The sequence below is a fragment of the Homo sapiens genome, chromosome 10 (genome assembly GCF_000001405.40).
Source record: "Homo sapiens chromosome 10, GRCh38.p14 Primary Assembly".
NCBI lineage: Eukaryota > Metazoa > Chordata > Mammalia > Primates > Hominidae > Homo > Homo sapiens.
Genome location: NC_000010.11, coordinates 116,306,460 through 116,329,906, shown reverse-complemented (window position 1 = coordinate 116,329,906; position 23,447 = coordinate 116,306,460). Strand labels below are relative to the sequence as shown.

The 23,447-nt window shown below is 36.7% G+C and overlaps 1 protein-coding gene across 5 annotated transcripts in view; it reads right to left on the bottom strand.

Moving 5' to 3' along the window:
• The window catches only part of CCDC172 (coiled-coil domain containing 172), a 55,582-nt gene extending 50,123 nt beyond the window's left edge, over positions 1-5,459 (bottom strand). For 3 of the 5 annotated variants that reach the window (NM_198515.3, XM_006717820.5, XM_011539771.3), the window contains exons 1-3: positions 5,294-5,459; positions 4,817-4,960; positions 4,519-4,604 (exon numbers count right to left, since the gene is read on the bottom strand). In NM_198515.3, the coding sequence (NP_940917.1) occupies positions 4,519-4,604; positions 4,817-4,895 (165 nt within the window). In that variant the 5' untranslated portion in view covers positions 4,896-4,960; positions 5,294-5,459. Of the gene's footprint in view, positions 1-2,731; positions 2,750-4,518; positions 4,605-4,816; positions 4,961-5,157; positions 5,262-5,293 lie in introns of those variants that run through there. The other 2 variants (XM_017016206.1, XM_047425192.1) reach the window with 2 other exon arrangements.
• Between the last annotated feature and the right edge of the window lie 17,988 nt (positions 5,460-23,447).

Below are 23,447 nucleotides of genomic sequence, written 5' to 3'. Positions count from 1 at the left end.
TACTCAATGATCAGTTCCAATAAAATTAATATTTTTGACACTTCAATCAAAACATTAAGTAAAACTAGCGGTTTTTGTTTTCTTACTGAGAGTGCATGGCAGTGAAGAATACGAGATGACTACTAGTACAGTTTGGTGCCACCACCTCGATTTGTGTTAAGGTGCTAAGAGTTTTACTCACTGCTGCTTTTGCACTGTCAATGTGTGCATTAACATAGAGAAGATGGCAAATGGTACCTTTGTATAGTATTATCATAAAAATAGCTTGACCTTACAAACTCCCTGAAAGTGTCTTGGGGACCCCTTTGAACTCAGAGATCACACTTTAAGAATAATGCTCTAAGGTGACAACTGAGCAGAGACTTAGGCTAACCAACCATCAAGATTTGCATGGGGCTGTCCTAGTGTTAGCACTAAAAGTCCCACATGATTCTACTGGGAGAGATCTAAATGAAGTGAGCGTGCATGACAGAATAACAGCTAATGGAATCAGCATTTCAAGCAGAGGAAACAGCAAGTGCAAAGGCCCTGGGGTCAAAGAATGATTGGCATATCCAAGAAAAAACAGCCCATTACAAAGGTTCACACCCCCATAAACCTGACTGTCCTCAGGAAGGTGAGCTACTGGACAATGTCTAATACAATACTCAAAGGACACTCAGTGACCTTTTTTGCCTATTTCCAAGTTTTGGATAATTACTCATGACAAACATGATAAGGCTTTCTTTATAGAATTTCATAGAGAAAATGGAAACAAATTTTTTCTTTAAATGAGAACTTCAAAAATTTTGAGTTTACAGTTAGGTTTATATAGTTGAAATTGCTTGATGTCAATCCTGTAATTCAGGAAGGAAGGTGTTATATAATTTATTTGCCAAGTATTCATAGTGTGATTTAGCAGTTGCTCAATGAATGTTTGTTGAATGAATAATTGCCAACTATAAAATTAAATATTGGTAGGATCTAAATTTTTTTGATTAAGTGTAAAGAAAGAAAAAAGCACTCCAATTACAAAACTCCATTTCAATACTATAAATGATAATAATTTGTGATTTTGTTCTTTCTCCAATTAGGTAATACAGTACTAAAGGATATGACTTTGCCTGCTGTTCTGGAGGTTTCCTAACTTTTACCAATTAAAATAAAAGAACACATACATATTGAGGTAAAGAAGTAAATGGGGCCACCTTAAGTTACTTTTTAATTTCAATACAATTTTCCTTTAAAAATTCATGAAATATTCTTTTATTATTGTTATGGTGTTTACACAAGTTAAAATTGGAAACAGAAAAAATAAACAAAATATTCACAAAATAGCCTCAGATTTTCCTCCATTTACTCCCTCTTAAGGGAATATGGCATTATATTGAGTTTTATGTAATATGTTTATAAAAATTAAATGTCAAAATTTTAATTATATGCCATTTTTAAAAATAGAAGAAGCTCTTTTAGATGTTTAAAAGAAACTACCAATGTTCTGTCAGTCCTTAATTTTGGTTTGCCCTGTCATCAATACTATACAACTTTTCCTTAACTATCAGAAGTTTTGGATGTATTGGTAAGCATGAATGCAAATCCAGGGCATGTTCTCATTTTTCTGTTTTCATATTACCAAACCTAACCAGGCATAGTGTAGCTGTCCAATTCATAAAGTACTCATACTATATAACCTGAGACTTTTGCAACCATATATTTTAAAAGACTCATTGAGCCCTGCAAGGCAAATGCTATCATTCAAGTTCTAATTACATGCTATCCGGGTTTTACATAAAAGAAAAAAAATGAATACTGTACTTCCCAAATACATTTATTGACCAGAAACAACATCCAAAATAAATGCCCCCCAAATTTTCTGAATGTATGACTGTACAATAGCTCAAGCACTGCTCTATTCAAATTATGTTCTATTAATAGTTTCTCCTTGTGCTGCTACTGTTTGATAAATGGGTCAATAAATGCCAAGTCAAATATTCAAGTAAATATATTTTCATTGTTATTGGCAGACATATAATTAACTCAGAATAAAAGAAACAAGAAATCAATTTAGGATTAGTTCTTCAGTTCTTCCCATTAGTCATATGCATTATAATTGTGATTCCACTTTTAAAATCTTTATGCACATATACATACCATCTTGACTATAATACAAATCAAACTATTTCAGTTATAAATTAGTATTGTATGAACTGTGACCCTCATATGTTAATTTTATTAGTAAGATACAAATGTATTATTACCCACATATATGAGCTGGTTAAAAAGCAATGCATGCTTATGAACCTATATTAATTAGTAATTTCAACAAATGTTTCTAAACAATGGTAGGCCTTTTCTGTCTTCTTTCTAGTAAAAACAACTGAATCAACATTTTTTAATGTATGTGTATATATCAACAAATTACATTTCCATTTGCAGACAAAACAAAACTTTGCTAACAAAGAAAATATTACAGAGTAACATTAAAAAATATATTATATCAGGTCAATATCCTCACCAATCCAGGAAAAATGCATTTTGTACAAAAACTTGTATAAGCAACCTTTTAAAAATATTAACCTAAACAAGATACAAAACTTCAGTTATATTATTATACATGAATGTCATGACGAAAAATGTTTAAAGTGAGCTTAAGAAATCTGCTTTAATAAAATATGCTGTTATTACTCAATTGTTACTTTCATTATGGTAGTTTAATTGTTTCTGAATTATATATCGTGGACAAGTCATTTACCTCTCAGTTTCCTCACTCATAAAAAGGGGATAATGATGGGGTCTCATCACAAGATTCCTGTTAGGATTAAAGGAGTTAATACAGGAGAAGCATTTAGAACAGTGCCCCTGCATACAGTAAGTGCTCATATTTTGCCCATTACTTCTATTAGCTTCTAGATATCAATCCTGAAAGTGTCTTAATTCCTTTTCAAGAGAAAGAAAGTTGCATCATAACATTCTTAATGTTTTGCCCATACCACCAGCTTTCAGCATTGCTGGTAGCAGCTAGTTTACCTACTATTCACAGGCAAAACAGGAGGAAGGATCTCACTGAATAACCGTTACAAATTCTATTTTAAAAGACTCTCCCTATTATCTATCAAACTATTAGTACTCAATTCTTTCAACACACTACTGTATACTATATACTGTTAGATAACAGGCAGTGAGAATAAAAGATGGATAAGGAAAAAAATTCCAGATACGCAGCTCACAAAATAGTGGGGGATACAAACACAAATACAAGTATGTATCATTGTTTAATTTTAAAATTTTACCAAGATGTCTTTATTGTATAAATAATAAATATTGTATAAATAAAGAAGGCTTTATTGGTGATGTTTGAGCAACACCTGGAAAGAAAAGCTGAAATTCGCCAGATGGAGAAGTGTTCTCTGATTGTTTCATTCCCAAAGAAAACTGAAAATTCCTCAAAGTGGTAAGTTAAAATAGTTATATTTGAAGCAGACAGACTTCCTCAAACAGACTTCATATTACACAGTGCTTGTTTAGTTCATCACTGGGTACTTAATAAATATTTTTGAATAACTCTCTGTCCCCACCCATAGCGAGGCCTTCATTGTGGCACACTTAAATAATATTCTTAGCTTCCTAATAGTCTATTCCCATCTTCCCAATCAGAGCTCAGAAAGATCCTCCTAAAACTACCTTTTATTTTTAAAGACAGGGTCTCACTATGTTGCCCAGGCTGGCATTAAACTGAACAACTGTCTTCTCACCTTAGCCTCCTGAGTAACTGGAACTACAAGCATGTGCCACCATACTAGGCTACCTAAACCCACTTTTACTGCTCCCTGATCAGGAACTTGCAACGGTTTTCTGCTATTCCCAGATATCAGCCCTTTGCTTTGACTAGATTCCTTTCCCAATATGCACTGCACATATCTGCCTCCTCCTTCTGTCTGGAACGCTTTCCTCCTACTACTTCCTTCTATTTGCCTCTTCAAAATTCTATCCATCCTTCAAGAAGCCATCAGACTCTCTTGCTTCTTTTTAAAATAACAGAACATTACAAACGCTGCAGGAAAGAGAGAAACGCTAATGGAAAAGGTATACTTCGGACGCAAGGCATGTCTAAAATGTGGTAGAGACTTTTAAAACTAAAGGCAGGGGCTTGTTTGAAATTTACATGCAATTGTTATATCAACATAGCACACAAATTATTTATCATTCAAAATGTATATACTGCACCAACTACTTATTAAATAAGTGGAATAATGATTCTTCTAATGACATTGTGCTCTTTTAAAACCTTAACCATCCCACAAAATGGACAATGAATTCTTCATTACCTTAGTTTATTTAGGGCAAATTCGTCTTGGAATTGAAGGTGTCACGGGATTCAGAACTTTAAACATCACCAGGCAACATGGAACTAAAACAGCCAGCACAGAGTAACGTGCTTCCTACTTGAAGGACAACTGGTTAAACACTGAAATATCCCCCAAAAGTCAAGTTAAGGCAGGCTTTTTCAAGTGATAATTAGTATGCTTTACATTTCAATACCTTAGATTCCAGCTTGATTTTCTCTTCATTCAGCTCCTCCGTTGCTTTCTTAATTTTTTCACGACATCTGGTTATTTCCGACCTTACTGTAATAAAAATTAAATCTTTAAACACATCAATCTTTCTAAAGTCCCCATTTTGGTGGCGTTTGATAAGCCACCTTTCAGTTGTCTTTCCCTCAGCATGGCATGCAAGCTCCCCTAACGGCTCTGACCACTGCCTTCGGGATTTCCTTCTGCTCCAAGCACCCAGCATCAGAAGACAAAAGGCCCCATGCAAAGGACAGAAATACCCCGACCTTCTCGCATCAAACGGCGACTCTCCTCCGCCTGATGCTCGGTGAAGATGATGTGCTGAAACAGGGACTCCAAGCTCATCTCAGGGCCTGGCTCCTGCGATCCTTTTCTCGCCCTTAAATATTTTATAACCAACTCTGAGGATCCTGGAAAGCAGAATAAAGAAGATGGATTCTTCTAGAACCATTCCCAGATAGACCTGTCTCCAACCCTCTGTCGCCAGCCCAGCAAGAAGATGGAGCCCGACGCCAGACGGTGTCTGAGGGGTCTGAGGGTCTAGGGACGCTGGCCGCTGCTGCCCCTTCCTGCCCTCAGCCTTTGTTTCCCGTTACAGTTTACAAACCGGGCTTTTCTCCCTCACGCCCTAAGAGGGCAGTTTCAAGGTCTGCCTTTTTCCCTGGCGGAACCCCTGACTCAGGCCTCCGTCCCTCCCTGGGTTTGTTTTTCGCTTTGGTGGCAAATAAAAAGGCTGCCAAGACCTTGGCTTTTGAGGGCGTCTGGGCAGCAGCCATTTCTGTAGTCAGCCTTTCAATCCCAGTCCTCTCTCATTTTAGGGATAACGTCCTCAAGGTGCTCTGTCTTTCAGCAAAATGGTACGTGCCAACAAAACCCACGGCCAAAACCTTCCCTAAGGCTGGAGCCAGTGCTTCAGGTCGGGCCTTGCCTGTGAGAACTTAAACTACGGCGGCTCATTGGGACCATCCTGTGGGGGGCAGGTTTGCCCTGGGCATGTGAACCCCAAAGGTCTTAGGCCCAGTTGGAGTAGGGTTGCCCGGTATCCAAGGCGCAAACACTGAATATTATAAAGTACAAAGTAACTGTGATTCTAAATATAAACTTTTACAAAGTCTTATACTTTGACGATGGCAAAGACTGCTATAAATGTGCAATGTCTGACATTCCGCCTTAATCATTCCTTTGTAATCAGGGCATATCTTTTTTGTCTGCTTTAAAATTAATCATTGCCTTTTGTAATCAAGCTGCAGTAATATTAACACTTCAATATCTGCGCAATATGTGTCAGAGACCAAAGTGGTTGCTAATTAAAGCTTAAACATGAAAGGCACCTTTGGGACTTCTGCGTGGGATTTTTTAAATCAAAAATTAAAATATTTTTAGTTTTAGTAGGTTGAAATATTGACATTATAATAAACATTTGACTTTATTTCTGAATGTAAAATTGGCATTGGTTGAACTTTAAAAAGTAATTTGTTGTTAGAATGTATTTAAAATTAAGTAAAATAAACATTTGACTTTATGAATGTAAAATTGACATTGGTTGAACTTTAAAAAGTAATTTGTCAGAATGTACTTAAAATTAAGTAAAATAAGGTAAATGTTAATTCTGTCACATCACAATAGGCTTAATTAATATTTCATTAATGCTGCAGTCTAATCAGTTATACATTTTAACCTATTCCAAATTTCCGCCTTAATTTCCATCAAGCCATTGATGCATAAAACTTAATTCTTTGAGTTTATTTTAAAAGAATAAATACTGAAAAGTATACAAAGCAGAAAAGAACTGCCCATAATCATGTCATTTAGAAGTACATATTAACATTTTACCAATTCCCTTCAAGGTAACCCTCCTCACTCTTCATTTTTCCTTTATAAATTTGAAATTATTGTGAATCAGTAATAATAATAATTTGTTATTATTTGCCAGGCACTATTTTGAACACCCTATATCCTTTTGAGATAATTTTTGCTATCACCTTCATAGCGTAGTTGAGGAAACTGAGGCACGGAACAATTAAGTATATTGCCATAGTTGCGTACCTCATATAGGGTGGTGAGAACTGAAACCAAGAAATCTGGAATCAGAAGCCATGAATTTAATTTTGGAGTCTACTATTTTATCCTCTTATTACATCCCAGACATTTTACCATTTCATTAAAAACTCTTCATAAATATATATTTATAACTTCATAATCCTCCACCATAAAGAGGCATGTGTAAAATTTAGATATACCAAAATAAGTTTTACTCTTATCTGTTCAAGGGTGAAAACAAAGCTGAAATTGTGGTTTGAACAGTTTTCTTTGAGCACTTGTTTGGAGGCTTATAAACTGTACCACAGCGGCCATCAAAGGAAAGGGCTTCCAGAAGATAAATTACATTACTAATTAATAACACTCCCTTCAGAATTATTTCCCATGGACTTGCACAAGGAACGTCATCACAAGGAGGCTGGTTTTCAAAAACATGCTGCTATTTAACGTTCCAATTTTATTAGTTACACTCAAATTCACATGTATTATTTAACATGCTCTTTCTGTGCTGAAACCTGGCAGAGTAAAATTTGGGCAGTCTTTGGGGAGTGCAGTTGCCTCACTTACACAGGAGTATGGAAGAAAGAGCTGCTGGAAATTCAAGAAAGGGGGTATGGGGAGAAATGGCTTCTTCATCTTCTGCAGTCTTCTTCTTCACATACCAGAATATTTTGGTGCTTTTAAATCCAAAGTTACAATCTTCTAAGAGGTATCATAACTATACACGTTAGCAGGAATTTTAAATTTTATTTTGTTTTTTGAAGCGAATATGATTCATATGAGCTCACAACTCAAAGTTTAAGTGTCCCATAATAATAAAAGTGACATATTAAGATAATTAAAAATACTGCTATTGTATATCTAGGTTTATTTATACATTTTCTGTAGTGTTAAAAGATAGTTTTTCTTATAGATATCCGTGCTCATTACATCTTATAATGTTCAGGGCAAGAGCAGCAGTACTTAAATTTATGCCAAATAAAAATGGTATACAATGTGGTAAAACTTGGGCATACAGTTTTCTGAAAATGTGCCTTATAAGTCTAAAAAAACAGAGATGATTCATTCAACAACTGTTTAATGAGTTTCTGCTATTCATTCAACAGATATTATTGAGCATCTCCTATGTGCCATATTAGAGAAAAAACAACAAGATTTAATAAAGCAGAACTACATAAAAAAGTATTTTTCTTCCCCTGGATATTTCTAACCTCACTGGAGAATTATTATATTTTTTAGCATTTTGGCAGCCGTATAAACAACTGCTTTCAGATGTTTCAACAGATGTTCTTTAGAAGGATGGTCAGTTATTTGCATTGTAATACACAGATATGATTCTCAGATCTAAACCTTCCATCTGTACATGTTCCATTGAGTTGCATACCTATGGAATATAAAAGTTAAGATCACTCATTGTCTCTCAGCCTCAGACTTTTGTTCATAATAACACTAGCACCTGGGTTATTGAGCCATTGATAATTGCTTTGCTAAGAAGGCCTTATATAAGGCTATATTGCTTTTGTGATTTAAAATGTATTTCCTCTCCTTTCCTAGATTGATGACTTCCCTAAGTTCTAAACCAGGCTTGCAAATACCCACTAGCCCAGGGCATATATATTGCAATGGAAATAAGAAAAGTAATTCATTTATTTTATGTTTTGTCTTAGGGCATCTGCCACAAAGAAAAAAAAATATGTGGGTTCAACCAAGTTTAACAACCATTTATTGAGGCTCTACTAAGTGTAAAATTCTCTGCTGGGTACTATAGGGGATACAAAGTTGAAAAGGTACAGACCCTACTCTCCTGGAGGTGATAGTCTACCAAATGGGACATAGTATGCACAAATAACTCCAAGGCATGCTGTGTTTAAGAGCTTCACCCTTGTGCTATGGGAATATAGGAGAGGGAGTGAGAAGAAGTCATACGTGGGTGATCTACGAAGACTATCAGTAGGATATAAAATATGAGCTGGGTTTTAAAGGAGGGTGGTACTTCAACAAATATAAAGTAATGGAGAAAAATAGCAGAATGTTGGATGGGGTCAACAGTTGGATGATGTTTAACATGTTTATATATGTGTTGGAGGACTACATAATGTTTGTGATCGGGTAAGTCATGGGTCAGAGTTGTTTTATGCAGTCTATTCATGGCAGGAAGTTACAAGTAGTAAAAAGAAAGAGACTAATGGGTCAGTGGGTGCAGCAAACCACCATGGCACGTATATACCTATGTAACAAACCTGCACATTCTGCACATGTATCCCAGAACTTAAAGTATAATTTAAAAAATTTAAAAAAGAGAGACTAATATGTAGCATGTGTTGAATAGCTCACTGGCAAAGTCCATTCAGGGTTCTATAACAAAATGCCATAAACTAGCTAGCTTAAAGACAATGGAAATGTATTATTCATAGTTCTGGGGGTCTATGAAGTCCAAGATCAAGGTGCCAGCGAATTCAGTGTCTGGTGAGGGCCCATTTCCTTGTCCATAGAAAGGGTCTTACTGTGTCTTCACATGGTGGGAGGAGCTAGCTAGCATTTTGCTGTCTCTTTTATAAGGACACCAATCCTAATCATGAGGTCCCTGCCCTCACAACCTAATCACCTTCCAAAAGCCTCACCCCCGAATACCATCACCTTAAGAGTTAGGATTTCAGCATATGAATTTGATGTGGGGGTGACACAAACATTCAGGCTATAGCCCTTGCTATGAGACAATAACCATCTGAGACTTTGACATGTATTAATTCTTTTAATTGACCCAACAACCATAAGAGATTAATGCTTTTATTATTTCGGAGACTGAGACACCATAGCCAAGTAACTTGTCTAAGGTCCCATACAGTAGCTAGGAAGCAGCAGAATCAGAACTTGAATCCTGATGGTCTCTTAAGGCAAAGGTCTTAACCACTTCCCTTTACTGCCTCTAAAAACTAGAGGCAGGAGAAAATAAGACTATTTAAGTAGCTGTGTTTTGTTTCAAGGTAGAGACATTTTCAAAAAAATGCTTATTACCAGCAAATTAATATTTTTTCTAAAGAAATTTCAGACTTCTACAATTTGGATTAGTAATGCAGTGTATTTGTAATGAATTAAAATAAGATGTGATTTAAGGAAAAATAATTGAAACTGGGTTATGTCTTGTTATAAATGCTTATTCCACCAACCATATATTTAATACATAAAGCTAAAAATGCAATTTATATGCAAAATATTATATTTGTTTCCTAATATTTATATTTGTTTCCTGAGGCTGCTATAACAAAGTACCACAACTGAGTGTTTTAGAACAGAAATTTATTCTCTCACAGCTCTGGAGAGTGAAAGTCTAAAATCAAGGTGTCAGCTCAGTTTGTTCCCTGTGGGTGCTCTTGAGGAGAATCTATTCCTTGCCTCTCCCCAGCTTCTGGTGCTTACTGGTCAACCCTAGCATTCTTTGGCTTATAGACAGTCACTCCTATCTCAGCGTCTGTTGTCATTTGGAATTCTCCCTGTGTGTCTCTGTCTCTTTCTCTCTTCTCCTCTTTTTTTTTTTTTTTTTTGAGATGGAGTCTTGCTCTATCGCCCAGGTTGGAGTGCAGTGGCATTATCTCAGCTCACTGCAAACTCTGCCTCCTGGGTTCACGCCATTCTCCTGCCTCAGCCTCCTGAGTAGCTGGGACTACAGGCGCCCGCCACCACGCCCTGCTAATTTTTTGCATTTTTAGTAGAGATGGGATTTCACCATGTTAGCCAGGATGGTCTCGATCTCCTGACCTCGTGATCTGCCCGCCTCGGCCTCCCAAAGTGCTGGGATTACAGGCGTGAGCCACCACGCCTGGCCTCTTCTCCGCTCTTTATAAGGACCCCAGTCATATTGGATAAAGGGCCTACACCAATCCAGCATGACCTCATGTTAATTAATTATATCTAAAAATGACCCTATTTCCAAATACGGTCATTTGGGATGTACTGGGACTGTTCAAGTCAGGACTTCAACATTTCTTTTGGGGGGACATAAGTCAATCCATAACCAACCTGAAAAGATAAGTTGCAGGAAATAGCTATGATTTAAAACAAAATTTTAAGCAAGATTGATTTATTTCTGTTATGGTCAAAGCATTTTTAGTGATTTAAGGGACTGTAGAAAACATCTTGCCCAATTCTTTTCTTTTATAGGTGTTAACATAAGGCCAGGGAGGTTGATAAATTTCCCCAGTGTTGTACATGCAGTTTATATCAGAGCTAGGTCTAGAACTGCCACCTAAAATTTTTCTGTTCCAATGAAAGATATTTTTTGTTCACCAGTGGCTTTGAACCACTTCAATTAAAGTAACTCCTCTTTAGTCTGTTTTCTATAGTGAACTTTCTTATAAGAGATTGAAGAAATGGTATAATAACCAGGGTAAAGGGCTGGCCTGGAGCAATTCATCCTCTGCAGGGTCCCTTCCCCATTAAGGAGATTAGAGAGATGATAATATTACTAGACAGACAGATAGATAGAGATATTGAGAAACACACATGCATGCATACACATATACGTATACATACATAGATACATACAAACATGTATGATAAAATGATATATAGAGATATAAATGCTTAAAAGCATCCATTTTATCTTCAGTATTATGCTTCTACGTAAAAATCTTCATTTTTAAATGGTCAATTCTTAATCACTGATTAAGAAATGCAATTTTTTTTTTGGTCATGAAATACATGGCATGAAGAAATGCCATGCACTTTAGGAATCATTAAATATCAAAATATTGGGAAGAAAACTCTGCAGTGTACCTGGTGAACTTGGATTTTTACATTGTCAGAGCTCAGAGCCCAGCACGGGGGCCAGGAAGGCTATCTCAGGTACTGTAGCCAAGAGAGTAGATTGTTAGCCCCAGAAAACAAAAATAAAACAAAACTTGGAAAACAAAATTCTCTACCATGTATAATTCATTTATGTATTCAATAAATATTTATTGGGTCTATACTATATGTACAGCCAGTAAGAATTTGGCATTACAAAGATGAATAAGACAAGGGGCTTAAAATCTAGTTGTTATCAAGTTGTAGTTTACATGACAATGAAGTGGTTTGAGATTATTATATAAGAATAATTAAAAGATAATTTTAAGACAGTTTGTTTTCTTACCGTTACTTATTCTAGTCATTAAATAAGTAATGACACTTAATCATTATTTGTCTACCTAATTAATACATGATTACTTACCCACTAAATTATTGACTCATAGTTGTTGAGTTGGTCTAAACTTAAACCAACTGTTAACATATTCTACTCTGTCTAATCGTGTATCACAATTTCTATGAATGAAGTTTTCTATTAATTTAAGTGAATTAGTCATACCAACTATTTGGAAATTTGGGAAAATTGCAATATTTCTATTACGTTCTATGAATTATTTACCGTGACTGAAAAGTTTGAAAAAAATTTAATGTACATATACACATACGTGCGTAGATAAAGTGAACCATAATTCTGTTTCTTAAAACACTTTGCTAAATTGCTCATTTATCAGGATAAAACTACTTTATGCTGTCAATGTTTGAAATGACTTTAGTGGCCTTAATACAATAGTATTGCGTTATAAAAACCAGACACTGCCATTATTTTCCCGCCAGGATGTCATAGACAGTTCAAAATGTTTTATCATAGTTTACATGGCTCATAAACCTTATCTTTCATTTGACATTGCAGGTGTGCTGTTAATAGAATGTAGAAAACCCCTTAAGAAGCTTAAAGGAAATAATTAATTAGCATTTAGATAAAAGAGTTCACTAAGAAACATTTTAAACAGAAAATAAGCTGATTATTTCATAGGTAATGGTAAGCAGTTCTGGAAAAGAATTAAATGGAATGAATAGAAAGTGGAAGGAATTGAAATTATCTGAAGACATATAAGGAAATATTGCAAAATTCTAGAATTACTGAATAAATGTATATGTCATCATTTGAAATTTGACCGTCTTATAATTTTGTGCTTGTTATGTTTCATTATTTTGCTTACAAAATGTGTACATGCACAGGTTTCTTATACCATTAGACAATCTACCCTTTACCATTTCCTTTTTCAAGATGTTAACACAGAAAAAAAAAAAAAGCAGGAAATGGGCTGAGATCCCACACTGTTTTGTACCATAGCCTTAAGTGAATAAATGCAAAGATTGTGCATGAAGGATCCAAACACTCATAAAAAAGATTCACGGTGTTATTCTTAGAAGAAATTAATAAAACCTAAGAGAACTTGTCAGAAAAAATGTCCTAAAGATGATTTTATTTCAGTAATTGTTGTATTTTAAATGCTTTCATTTTCTTTTGCGATGGCTTTCATCTTACTTACAGTTATTATTACTCATAAAATATGATATTTTGGTCCAGGAGGCTGTAACTGTAAATGAGACATAATATTCTCATCTAGGAGTAGATAAGGGGATTCAAATCTCCTGCTTCACCGTGTAAGCTGATTACCACAGAGGTCAGAAAGCTAGTTTCCACTTCCTTTAAGTGCCAGCTGTGATGTTTAATGTAACCAACCAGACACCCTTTCTTCCTTTTTTTCAGTCTCAGCATCTGATTGGCAGCCTGTCTCAGTGGTTTATAAGATGGATTAGGAATTCCATGCTTTGACAGTTGTGTTAGGGCTTGAGGGTGAGTCTGTGAGGAGTGACCACAAACATCATTTGGTGTTCATTGAAGATGTACTTGTGCCAGCTCCTGTGCCACAACAATGAACAAGATAAATGAGCTCTCAGGACTCAAAGAGCCTGCAGGGGCAACAGGAAACGAGGCTTATTAGTTCATTCTCATGCTGTTAATAAAGACATACCTGAGACTGGGTAATTTATAAAGGAACGAGGTTAAAGTAACTCACAGTTCAGCATGACTAGAAAGGCCTCAGGAAACTTACAATCGTGGTGGAAGGGGAAGCAAACACATCCTTCTTCATATAGTGGCAGGGAGAAGAATGAGTGACCAGCCTAGGGGAAAGCCCCTTGTAAAACCGTCAGATCTGCTGAGAACTCAACTCACTATCACGAGAATAACTTGAGAATAACCGCCCCCATGATTCAATTATCTCTACCTGGTCCCTCCCATGACACATGGGGATTGTGGGAACTATAATTCAAGATGATATTTGGGTGGGGACACAGCCAAACCACATCATTCTGCCCCTGGCACCTCCCAAATCTCATGTCCTCACATTCATTAATTCACACTCATTAATTCAATACAAATGGACTAAGTGTAGGTATGAATATAACAGCATAGAATGGAGACCTGCTGTGAATGATGTTAACAACACACTTACACTTCACAGTCTCTCAGGCTGGAAGAACTTGGCATCTGCAGAGCAGAGAGGAAGCCAGTGGAATTGGGGCACAGATGGGGTCGTCAAAGGGGTCAGATCCAGCAGGGCCTTGAAGGCAAAAGAAGGAGTTTGGATTTTATCCAAATGTAGTGGAGGGCCCTAAAAGGGTTGCTTCTTCTTAAGAATAAGATGAAAACTGTGCACTGCTCCCTTGGTGGAAGAGTGGCTGCACATCACAGTGGACTGGCTGGAGTGTGTCTACCTGGGTCCAGGGCTCATTTGGCTGATAACTAGCTATGTGACCTAGAACAAGTCATTGACTCTCTTTCACCCTTATTTTACTTGTTTTCAAATGGGGATAGGGGAGGTAGAGTAAAAGAAAGGGAGTAAATAGGAGAGAGGAAAGAAAAAAATAAAAACAATACTTACAGATGGAAATTTCAGATAGTAAATTAGAAAAAAAAAACCCAAAACTAAAAATTTAGTAATAAAATCCTTTAAGCAAGGAGTTGTCTCACTTCACTCTCTGGAAAAGTCCCAGACAGGACACATAGAAAAGAATCTAGAAATGTATGAGGATCATTGCCTTCGGTTAAGAATCAATATCAGGGTCTTAGGGAAGAAAAATTCAAGATTTCTGCCAGAATTCTCTCTATATCTTTCAGATTTCATCGTATATAAGTGTGTACACAGTAGAAATTCACTGTACACCCATTCTACCTGTAAATATATTGAAATGCTCCCACACAGATTGGCAAATAATTGCTTCCCAGTCCTCCAAGACCAACCCTTATCACTCTGGCTGTTCTACCTCCACCACCAGGCAGAACTACCCACAGTCTGGCATCTAACTGGCTAATGCCTGGCTTAACCAAAGGCCTCTGCTCAGTGTCAGTTTTGACTGCTCAGTGCCTAGGTCTATAGATGTATTAGCGTCTTATGGCTGCTGTAACAAATCACCAACTTAAAATAATACAAGTGTGTGATCTCACAGTTATGCAGGTCAGAAGTCTGAAATAGGTCTTCGTAAGCTAAAATCAAGCTGCTGCTAGTCTTTCTGGAGGCTCTGAGAGGCAATTCCTTTCCTTACCTTTTCCAGATTGTAAAAGTTGCCCAATCCCTTAGCTCCTGGCCTCTTCATTCTTCTTTAAGTCAGTAATGTAGCATCCTCAAATCTCTCTGCTGCTCTGACACTCCCACTTCCCTCTTAGAAAGACCCTAATGATCCCACTGGGCCCACCCAGATAATCCAGGATAATCTCGCCATCTCAAAATCCTTAACTTAATCACATCTTCAAAGTTCCTCTTGCCAAGTAAGGTGACATATTCACAGGTTCCAGGGATTAAGATGCAGATATCTTTGGGGACCATTATTCTGTCTACCACAGTGGTTACATACTTTAAATATTGTATCTGAGTATATACAATAAACCACATAGAATTCTCATAAAAGTGTGTCACAGTCAAAAGGTGAAATATGAAAGGAAAGAATCTGAGTCATATAGAAAAAACATTAAAAATAGGTCCATGTCTCAAGAACTTTCTGGAACACTATAGACCTTTAATTCCCTCCTCTACTTTAGTAGTTACCAGTACCAAATGGATAAAATAGCTCAAAAGAGAAACGAGTTGGGGCAAGACAGAAAAGAGGAAGAAAATGGAAGTATCACTTGTAAGTCCCAATCTTATGTCAGTACTCCAGAGAAGAGGATAGAGGATATAGATCGTGGCAAGGACAAGAAGAGATTCCAGAATCTATCCAAATGATCCCAGGGAGGACAAGAAAACACTCCAGAAACTGATAGTGAGTTTGTATTAGGTAATCACTAAACCTTCCAGAGTCAATTGTCTCCTAATCTAGAATATTAAAGGAAAAGAATGTGAAAAAAAAAGATCAAAGGAATTAATGACAATTTGAATGTCCTCTGCAATTAAATGCCCATGGGATTGATTTGATGAAGTTTGGAGATAGCTAATCTAACATAGTTTATCAGCTCTTGGAGGGCAGTGAGTTCTCTGCTGAGACTCATATTTGATGGTTCTTTGTATATCAAACAGTGGTGTGTATGTAATGGGAGTAAATATCCTGAAATAAAATCCAGGAGCCACAATCAAATGGTAGCTTCATGAGGCGGTCTTGGGCACACCACTGATTCCCAGCCCCTAGAACAGTATCAGGGAAACAGCAATTTCCCAATGACTTTGTGTCAGATGAATGAATAAAGGAAAATGAATGTATGCAAGGGTTGGCATGAACAATAGTTTTTGGTCTAAACAATGAACATTTAAGTGTTCATTTTAATAACTAGAAAATGCTAGAAACCAATACTGAATTCAGTGTATTGGCATTTTGATATACTGTATCAAATCCTAAGTGATCCAAAGAATTTAAAAGCCTATATTCCTGTCTGTAAATAGGATTTCCAAGATTCAGCAAATAAAAATATATAATTTCCAGTTGAATTTGAACATCAGGTATACAATGAATAATTTTTTAGTGTAAGTTTGTCCCAAATACTACATGGCAACCTATCTATAATGTCATATTGTATTGTATTTTAGATAAATTATAATTTTGTAAAGATACTAGCTTTGTAATGATGGCATTCTTAAGGAAGATAAAAAAGGTGCTTTCACTAGCTTGTGTTCAAGGTCGGGGTATGAGAAGGTGGAGACCTGCTGTGTTGTATTGTGCTGTTTTAAAAGCATGCTTTTCTGTAAGCCAGGGCCCATGGAGTAGAAACTGAAATTTAGCTTCTCATAAATTCTGCAGAGCTACCAGGGAACAGTAATCAGCAAGGATAAAATCTGAAGGGAAGGTCAGTGAGGCAGGTAAGAGCTGCTGCATCCATATTACCTAAAACACACAAAACTCCACGAAACAGGACTGGAAAAGCGAGCAAGGGTGGAAGGCAAGAATCATCCCATGAGAGTAGTGTTAGATTGCCTGTAGGAAAAAAACAAAAAAAAACTTTGTCAGCCCCAACAGCTACTTTAATTGTGTGTGCATGTTGTGCTAGTCCGTAAAATAAGAGTTGAGCACGTTCTATGTACTTTGTGGTCTCTCTTCATAATACCCTGTTGCTGTCAAAGTAATTCACTATTTTTCCTAGAAAAGGCATGGTGTTGCTGTGTTCATTTGTGCCTGATCCAAAGAATCAGTATGGTTGCCTTTTTCTTCTATTAGGCATTTACATGCTACCTGGTTGTTAGGCCTGAAAATACCAGATGGAGCTTGGAAACAGAGCAGACACTGTTGTCATAGAAACGAGATGCTATCCCAACTCTACGCAGCTGCCATCTTTTTTTTTTTTCTTTTTTTCACCATGAGGAGTTCTGATAGGAGCAAATACTGACAAAATATAGAGATTCCCAGCCCCTAAGCCCCCGCCACTCATACATCCCACCCGCCTTGGAATACAGGCACCATTAGTACATCCCTCAGCTTATTGAGAGCCTAAAACTATAGTAAAATGATTTGATTTTCAGGTCTTTTAGTCAGAGTGTAAGGGGCAAACCCATGCTTTGACATCATCTTCTTCCCTTAAACTGCAATGATGTATTTGTCCTGTCCCAAGATGAGACAATATCCTTTGTAACCAGGGAAGCCTCAGCTTTGGCATTGCTGGAAATGCAATCTAAGTGTTTGCAATCACTGTGCAATGTCAGTACTCAGCAGGAGAGAGGGGAATGGCCTCTTCTGATTCTCTGAATTCCCCACAGTGGCTAGCAGAATGCTGATCACACAGGAGGGGTATGATGAATTCTGTGGTTTGATGTTCAAACTTGAGGGATGCAGTTATTGGCCATGGTCCCACACTGCTGCCTTGCCTCTTCAGGTAGCTGTGGCATTCCCAAGGGAGTGTAACACCGGGAGAAGTGCTCAACACAAATGGCAAGAGGGGCAGCAAAATTTCCAGCAGGGAAGGCTGCTTTTGTGTCCCTCCACAGTTGGGAACAGGTTAAATTCTAGGGCCTTAATGTTCTGGCTTGAAGAATTGTGTTTAGCAATAAAGGGATATTAAAATTGACATGGTTTTTGGCAGTGGTTCTTGTCTTAGTTTCCTGTTGTTGCTGTCACAAACTGCTACACACTTAGGGGCTTAAAACAAGACACATGTATTCTCTTACAGTTCTAAAGGGGTCAGAAGTTCAAAATCAGTTTCACTGGGCTGACGTCAAGGTATTAGCAGGGCTGCTTCCTTCTGGAGGCTCTGGAAGAGAATCTTTTTCCTTGCATTTTCACACTTTAAAGTCTACCTGTATCCATTGGCTCATGGGCTCTTCCTCCATCTTCAAAGTCAACTTCATAGCATCCTGCATCTATCATCACTTTGCCTTCTTCTTCCACAGTCAAATCTTTCTCTGCCTCCCTCTTGTATACTTTGATTACATTTAGGGCCCACCCAGATAATCCAGGATAACCCCTCCATCCCAAGATTCTTCGTGTAATCACATCTGCAACCTCCTTTTTGCCATGTAAGGTATTTTGCCATTCACAGGTTCCAGGATTTAGAACACAGGTATCTTTGGAGACCATTGTTCAACCTACAACAGTTCCCAAACTTGGATGATCACCACTTGGAAAGCTTTTCAAAAATAGATTACCCAGCCCCGCACTAGATGCGTCCTATCAGAATTTCTTAGGAGGATGGGGGACCTGGGAATCTCTGTTTAAGACTCTCCCAGGAGATTCTGTTGAAAACCTTTGTTAAGAGCTTTTTCAGGCTCCTTCCCAAACAGGTGCAGTGATGATTTAGTGACACTGTGATTTTGTTCTGTGTATCATGTTCAGGGTCAGTGAATGTGTAGGGGAGGTTTTGAAAAGGCATTTATTTAGAAGCTTGGAAGGTCATACCATCATCCTCTGAGGTTTACAACGCTCCCACAGAATAGCTTTGGCAAATGACTGCGTCACGTGAACTGAGCCTAGCAACCCTTCAATTTAATGGTAAGGATACCAAAATTGTTTGCTAATGCCTCCCTAGACCTTCAACCATATGAAATATGCATCTTGATAGCTGGGATCAGCTGGCATTTCTTTTCCTCATGGAGACTTTTCCATATACTGCCTTGGACCATTCTTCTCCTTCGTAGATGGTTCCCCGTCACTCTCAGAGCCCTTGAAGTTGCCTATTTTGCCTACTTCAAGAAAAATGGCTGTGGCAGAGGAAAAAATCCATACAGTATCTTTAGAAAAACTGTAAATATTTTATCATTTCTTACTAAACATACATTATTTACTCTGTAATGTAAATATTTTATGGCCTGCAACTGGCAATTTTGGAATATTGGTATGTTTGGAGAATTGCGGTTCAGTTAAAAATCCTACACCACACACCCAGCTCATATTTAAATTACACAACTCTTTAAAAAGCATTTAACTCTCAGAAATGGGGGAGTAATAAAATCTTATTTTTCAAAGAAGGCTTAAGGACCTGACTCAGACCTGAGACAGCATGTTTGTGTGAAAAAGAAAGTTGGAGCTGCAGCAGCCTGGGACTTCCATCCTCTGTGGGCTGACAAGATACAGTTACCTATGCCTAAGTGTCTAATTTCATCGAGTGACGAGAAGGGGCAAACATGCCCATAACCAGCTCATTAGAGAAGAGTTTCACCACACACAAAAAGGCAGAAAAGCTTCCCCGGCTTTAGGAAAAGCACGTGGAGTTGTACATAGGACAAGAAAATTCTTTCATTAAATAAAATGGCTACGTATCAGAACATTTAAACCAGGTTTTCAAATATAGACCTCAACTGTTTGGAGAATTTTTTCTGTTTTAATCCCAGTGACTCTCTAATACAGAGGTCATAGAAGCTGCCATCATCCTAAATTACAGCCCATTTTAGAGGTTGGCTGTAATCCAAGAGGTTGCATTATTCCAAACTGCCTGTCAAAAACTGTCAAAACACTGCCATTTTCCAAAAGTAGTCCTTTTAAATAATTTTCTCACTCTTTTCCCTGAAACTTTACTGGCATTGAGCTTTAATATCATAGCTTATAGGCATAGTAAGTGAAAGCCTTTCAAATGAGAAATGGCAAAAAAAAAAAAATACCCATATTCTAGGCATATAACAACATACAAAATTCTAGGTGGAAAATTGAGTCAAATTTGCAGATGCTTTCTGCCCCCAAAGCAATAGCCATTGCTAATCTACATGTGAAATGGTAACCAAAGAATAAAGAAAATATGAGTCCTAGCAGTATTACTGATTTTTCACATTTAGCATGTGGAAAGAATTCTATAGTTCCTAGAGTCCATATTTTTTCTTTTTGTTCTTTCCTTCTATACCAAATTTCTAATGAAAGATGTTTTATCTCACAGTTTACTGATGTCTATTTTCTTCATTTTATAAATGAAGAAATTGACACCTGGACAGCCGCCTGCATGATTTCCCCAAGGCTTCATGGTGAATCTGAACCTAAATCCTTCACTCTTTTTCCCCAGCTTTATTGGCATATATTAGACAAATAAAAATTGTATATATTTAAGGTGAATTATGTTCACATTTGATAATGTGATGTGATTACCACAATCAAGCTTATTGACATATCCATCACTTTCCATAGGCACCTTTTGCATATGTGTGGTCTGAACACTTAAGATCTACCCTCAAAGCAAATATTAAGTATGTAATACAGTGTTATTAACTATAGTCACTATGCTGCACATTAGATCTCCCGAATTTATTCATCCTGCACAACTGAAATTGTGTACCCTTTGACTATCATCTTCCATTTCTGAAATGCCCAGCCAACTGGCAACTACCATTCTATTGTGTTTTTATGATTTTGACTTTTTTAGATTCCATATATAAGTAAGATCATGTGTTATTTGTTTTTCTACCTTTGGCTTATTTCACTTAACATAATGTCCTTCAGATTCGTGCATATTGACACAAATGGTAAGATTTCCTCCTTTTTAAGACTGAATAATATTCCATTTGTGTATATTCTTTACCCATTCATCCGTTGATGGACACTTAGGTTGTTTTCATGTCTTGAATATTGTGAATAATACTGCAAAGAACATATTGTAAATCGGTACAGACATTATGGAAAACAGCATGGATGGATCCTCAAAAAATTAAAAATAGGACTACCATATGATCCAGCAATTCCACTTCTGGGTATATATCCAAAGGAAATGAGATCAGTATCTTCCAGCAATACTTGCACTCCTTGTACTCTTTTTAATATGCATTCCAGCTCTCTTTTTGACTTGGAAATTCATCTCCTTTATCTTATCTTTTTTACATCAGACTTAACTCCAGAATTTTATGCTACCTGGATTAGAAACACCTCCCTCAAAAAGAGAAATTCCTGCCACCTACATTTTCTCAAATATAGACCTTGAATTTAAAACTTCAGTTCTACAAAGAATTTCAGCAACCACTCCACTTAAGACAATTTATCTTCCAAACAGTATAAGATAACAAAATGTTATAAAGAGGCTGCTCTTATTTTGAGGCATTACAATTCAAACAACAAATTAGGAAATCAACAGGATCATTCAGTCCTACAATCACTGTGACAGTTGTATTTGTCAACAACTAGTTTTCAGAAGAAATAGAACTCAAAGAAAATGCATATCTTCCAAATTCCAACAAAGAGATATGTAGAAATACTTTTTAAGACTATCAATAGTTTATTTATAATGAAAAATTAATTCACAGGTGAAGTCTTTTCACAGAAAGACAATGCTTTGAACAAATGTAGCATAAAGATGTTTCAAAATAGAACTGCAGCATCTGAAGATACTAATAATATATGTAATGTTGCTTGATGTCATTAGCAAGCAACTCAAACTCTTCAGCTACCGTAAAATACAAACCACAATCAGCACATTCTCAGGAGCAGTAGATCTGTCTGACCTGACTTCTGCTCTGCAGTTAACAATTTTGTTTTAATTCATAAAAAAGAAATTCTTATCACCTCTAAATTGTGCAACTGGGTTCCCAAAAGATCACACTTAAGTCCAATTTCCACGTTCCATGTTGTTCTATGTCTACATCAATCTCTACGGCTTGGAAAATGTTAAATCACTGACAAGCCATAATTAACTCGTTATCAGTGAAGACAACCCCACGATCTTCCAGTGAAGGATGTAAAATTCTAAGAAATCCCCTTCCCAAAGAGTATTTTATTGAATAACTGTGGTTCTTTACCACCCTGTTATGAAAAATGTGCCAGGCTAAAATATCTGAACTTCAGAAAAATTACATAAAGAAAGATTTTCCTAGATGTGGCTTAAAGAACGCCTAATATTCCTCAAGATTTTCATATTTTCTTTAAAAACAAAAACAGTGATTCCGTGTGAAAACAAGTTGGGAAACTGCATTCTTTAGTCCCCCTGGGGACTCACAAAGCACATTGGTTTATTAAAGGTTCTGAGACATCCTGCAATAAAGAAACCTGATTCATTCCATTTAATACGATCTTCCCAAATTTATTTGGCCACAAAGCCCTTTATTTCATGAAGCATCCTTAACCATGTTTGGATCAATGATGTTCTGCAAAATACGATTTGTTTTTCAAACCCTGGTCTGGATTTCTGTTTAGGCTGCTACTGAGGCCTTGGTCACAGGCCATTTAGCTTCCCTCTGGCCAAAAGTTCCAAAATGTGGGATTCAGGTCTAGGCTAGCATTCTGCTAAACTGTTGGCCATCATAGGGGCAGACCATGAGTGCGTGTCACTATTTTACAAATCAGGAAACTGAAGTTCTAATTTGCTCAAACGCAGAAGTGACAGAACTGGCTCTAGACTCAAAAGCCCCCACTTTATAATGGGCCTTTTCTGAAATGAGAAGCCTAAAAATATATAGCATCTTTGTCCATTTAGAAAAATTCCCTCAATTTCACGATTTTAAGGAAGATGAGAACTCAGTGTAATCATAGCCAAAGACTATTGTAATGTCACATGGAAAATTGACCTAAGAAACCAGTATTTAACTATGAATAGAAATCACGGGTTTTACCCATTGTGCATAGTCATCCTTACTTGATTTTGTAAAATTGAACATATCTTTTATGATTTTCCAGCCAAATATTTTTCCTCAAATTTCATTGTGAATACAAATCATAATGTGACTCATTCTATTATTCCAACTTCATGCTGCTCTTTTTCTAAACTATAACTTCCTTTATGCTTAATGTTCATTTGGAATGATAGATAAATAGAAGGATCCATATTTTGCAACCATTCAGATGTTTCAGTAACTCATAGTCAACACATCCCTTTAGTGTACATATCCAGCAAAGAGTGAATTTAAATGGCAGGTATGTGAACAAAGTCATGGGGAATTCTGCCCACAGTGTATACAGTCCTAAGTGCTTCCTTCCAAGTATTTATTTTAATTTTATATCTCTAATCATGCATACCTTATTCCTTGTACAGTAAATGAGATAAATTATGAATATTTTGGAAGAATTTGCTATAAAAATAAGGTACGAGAACGTTTATTTACTAGGCAGCTTACGGAAAATTGTCATGACTCCTGTTTCTACCTAAATTCATATGTTAGCTCATTTGTAATAAATAAATTCCAAGTC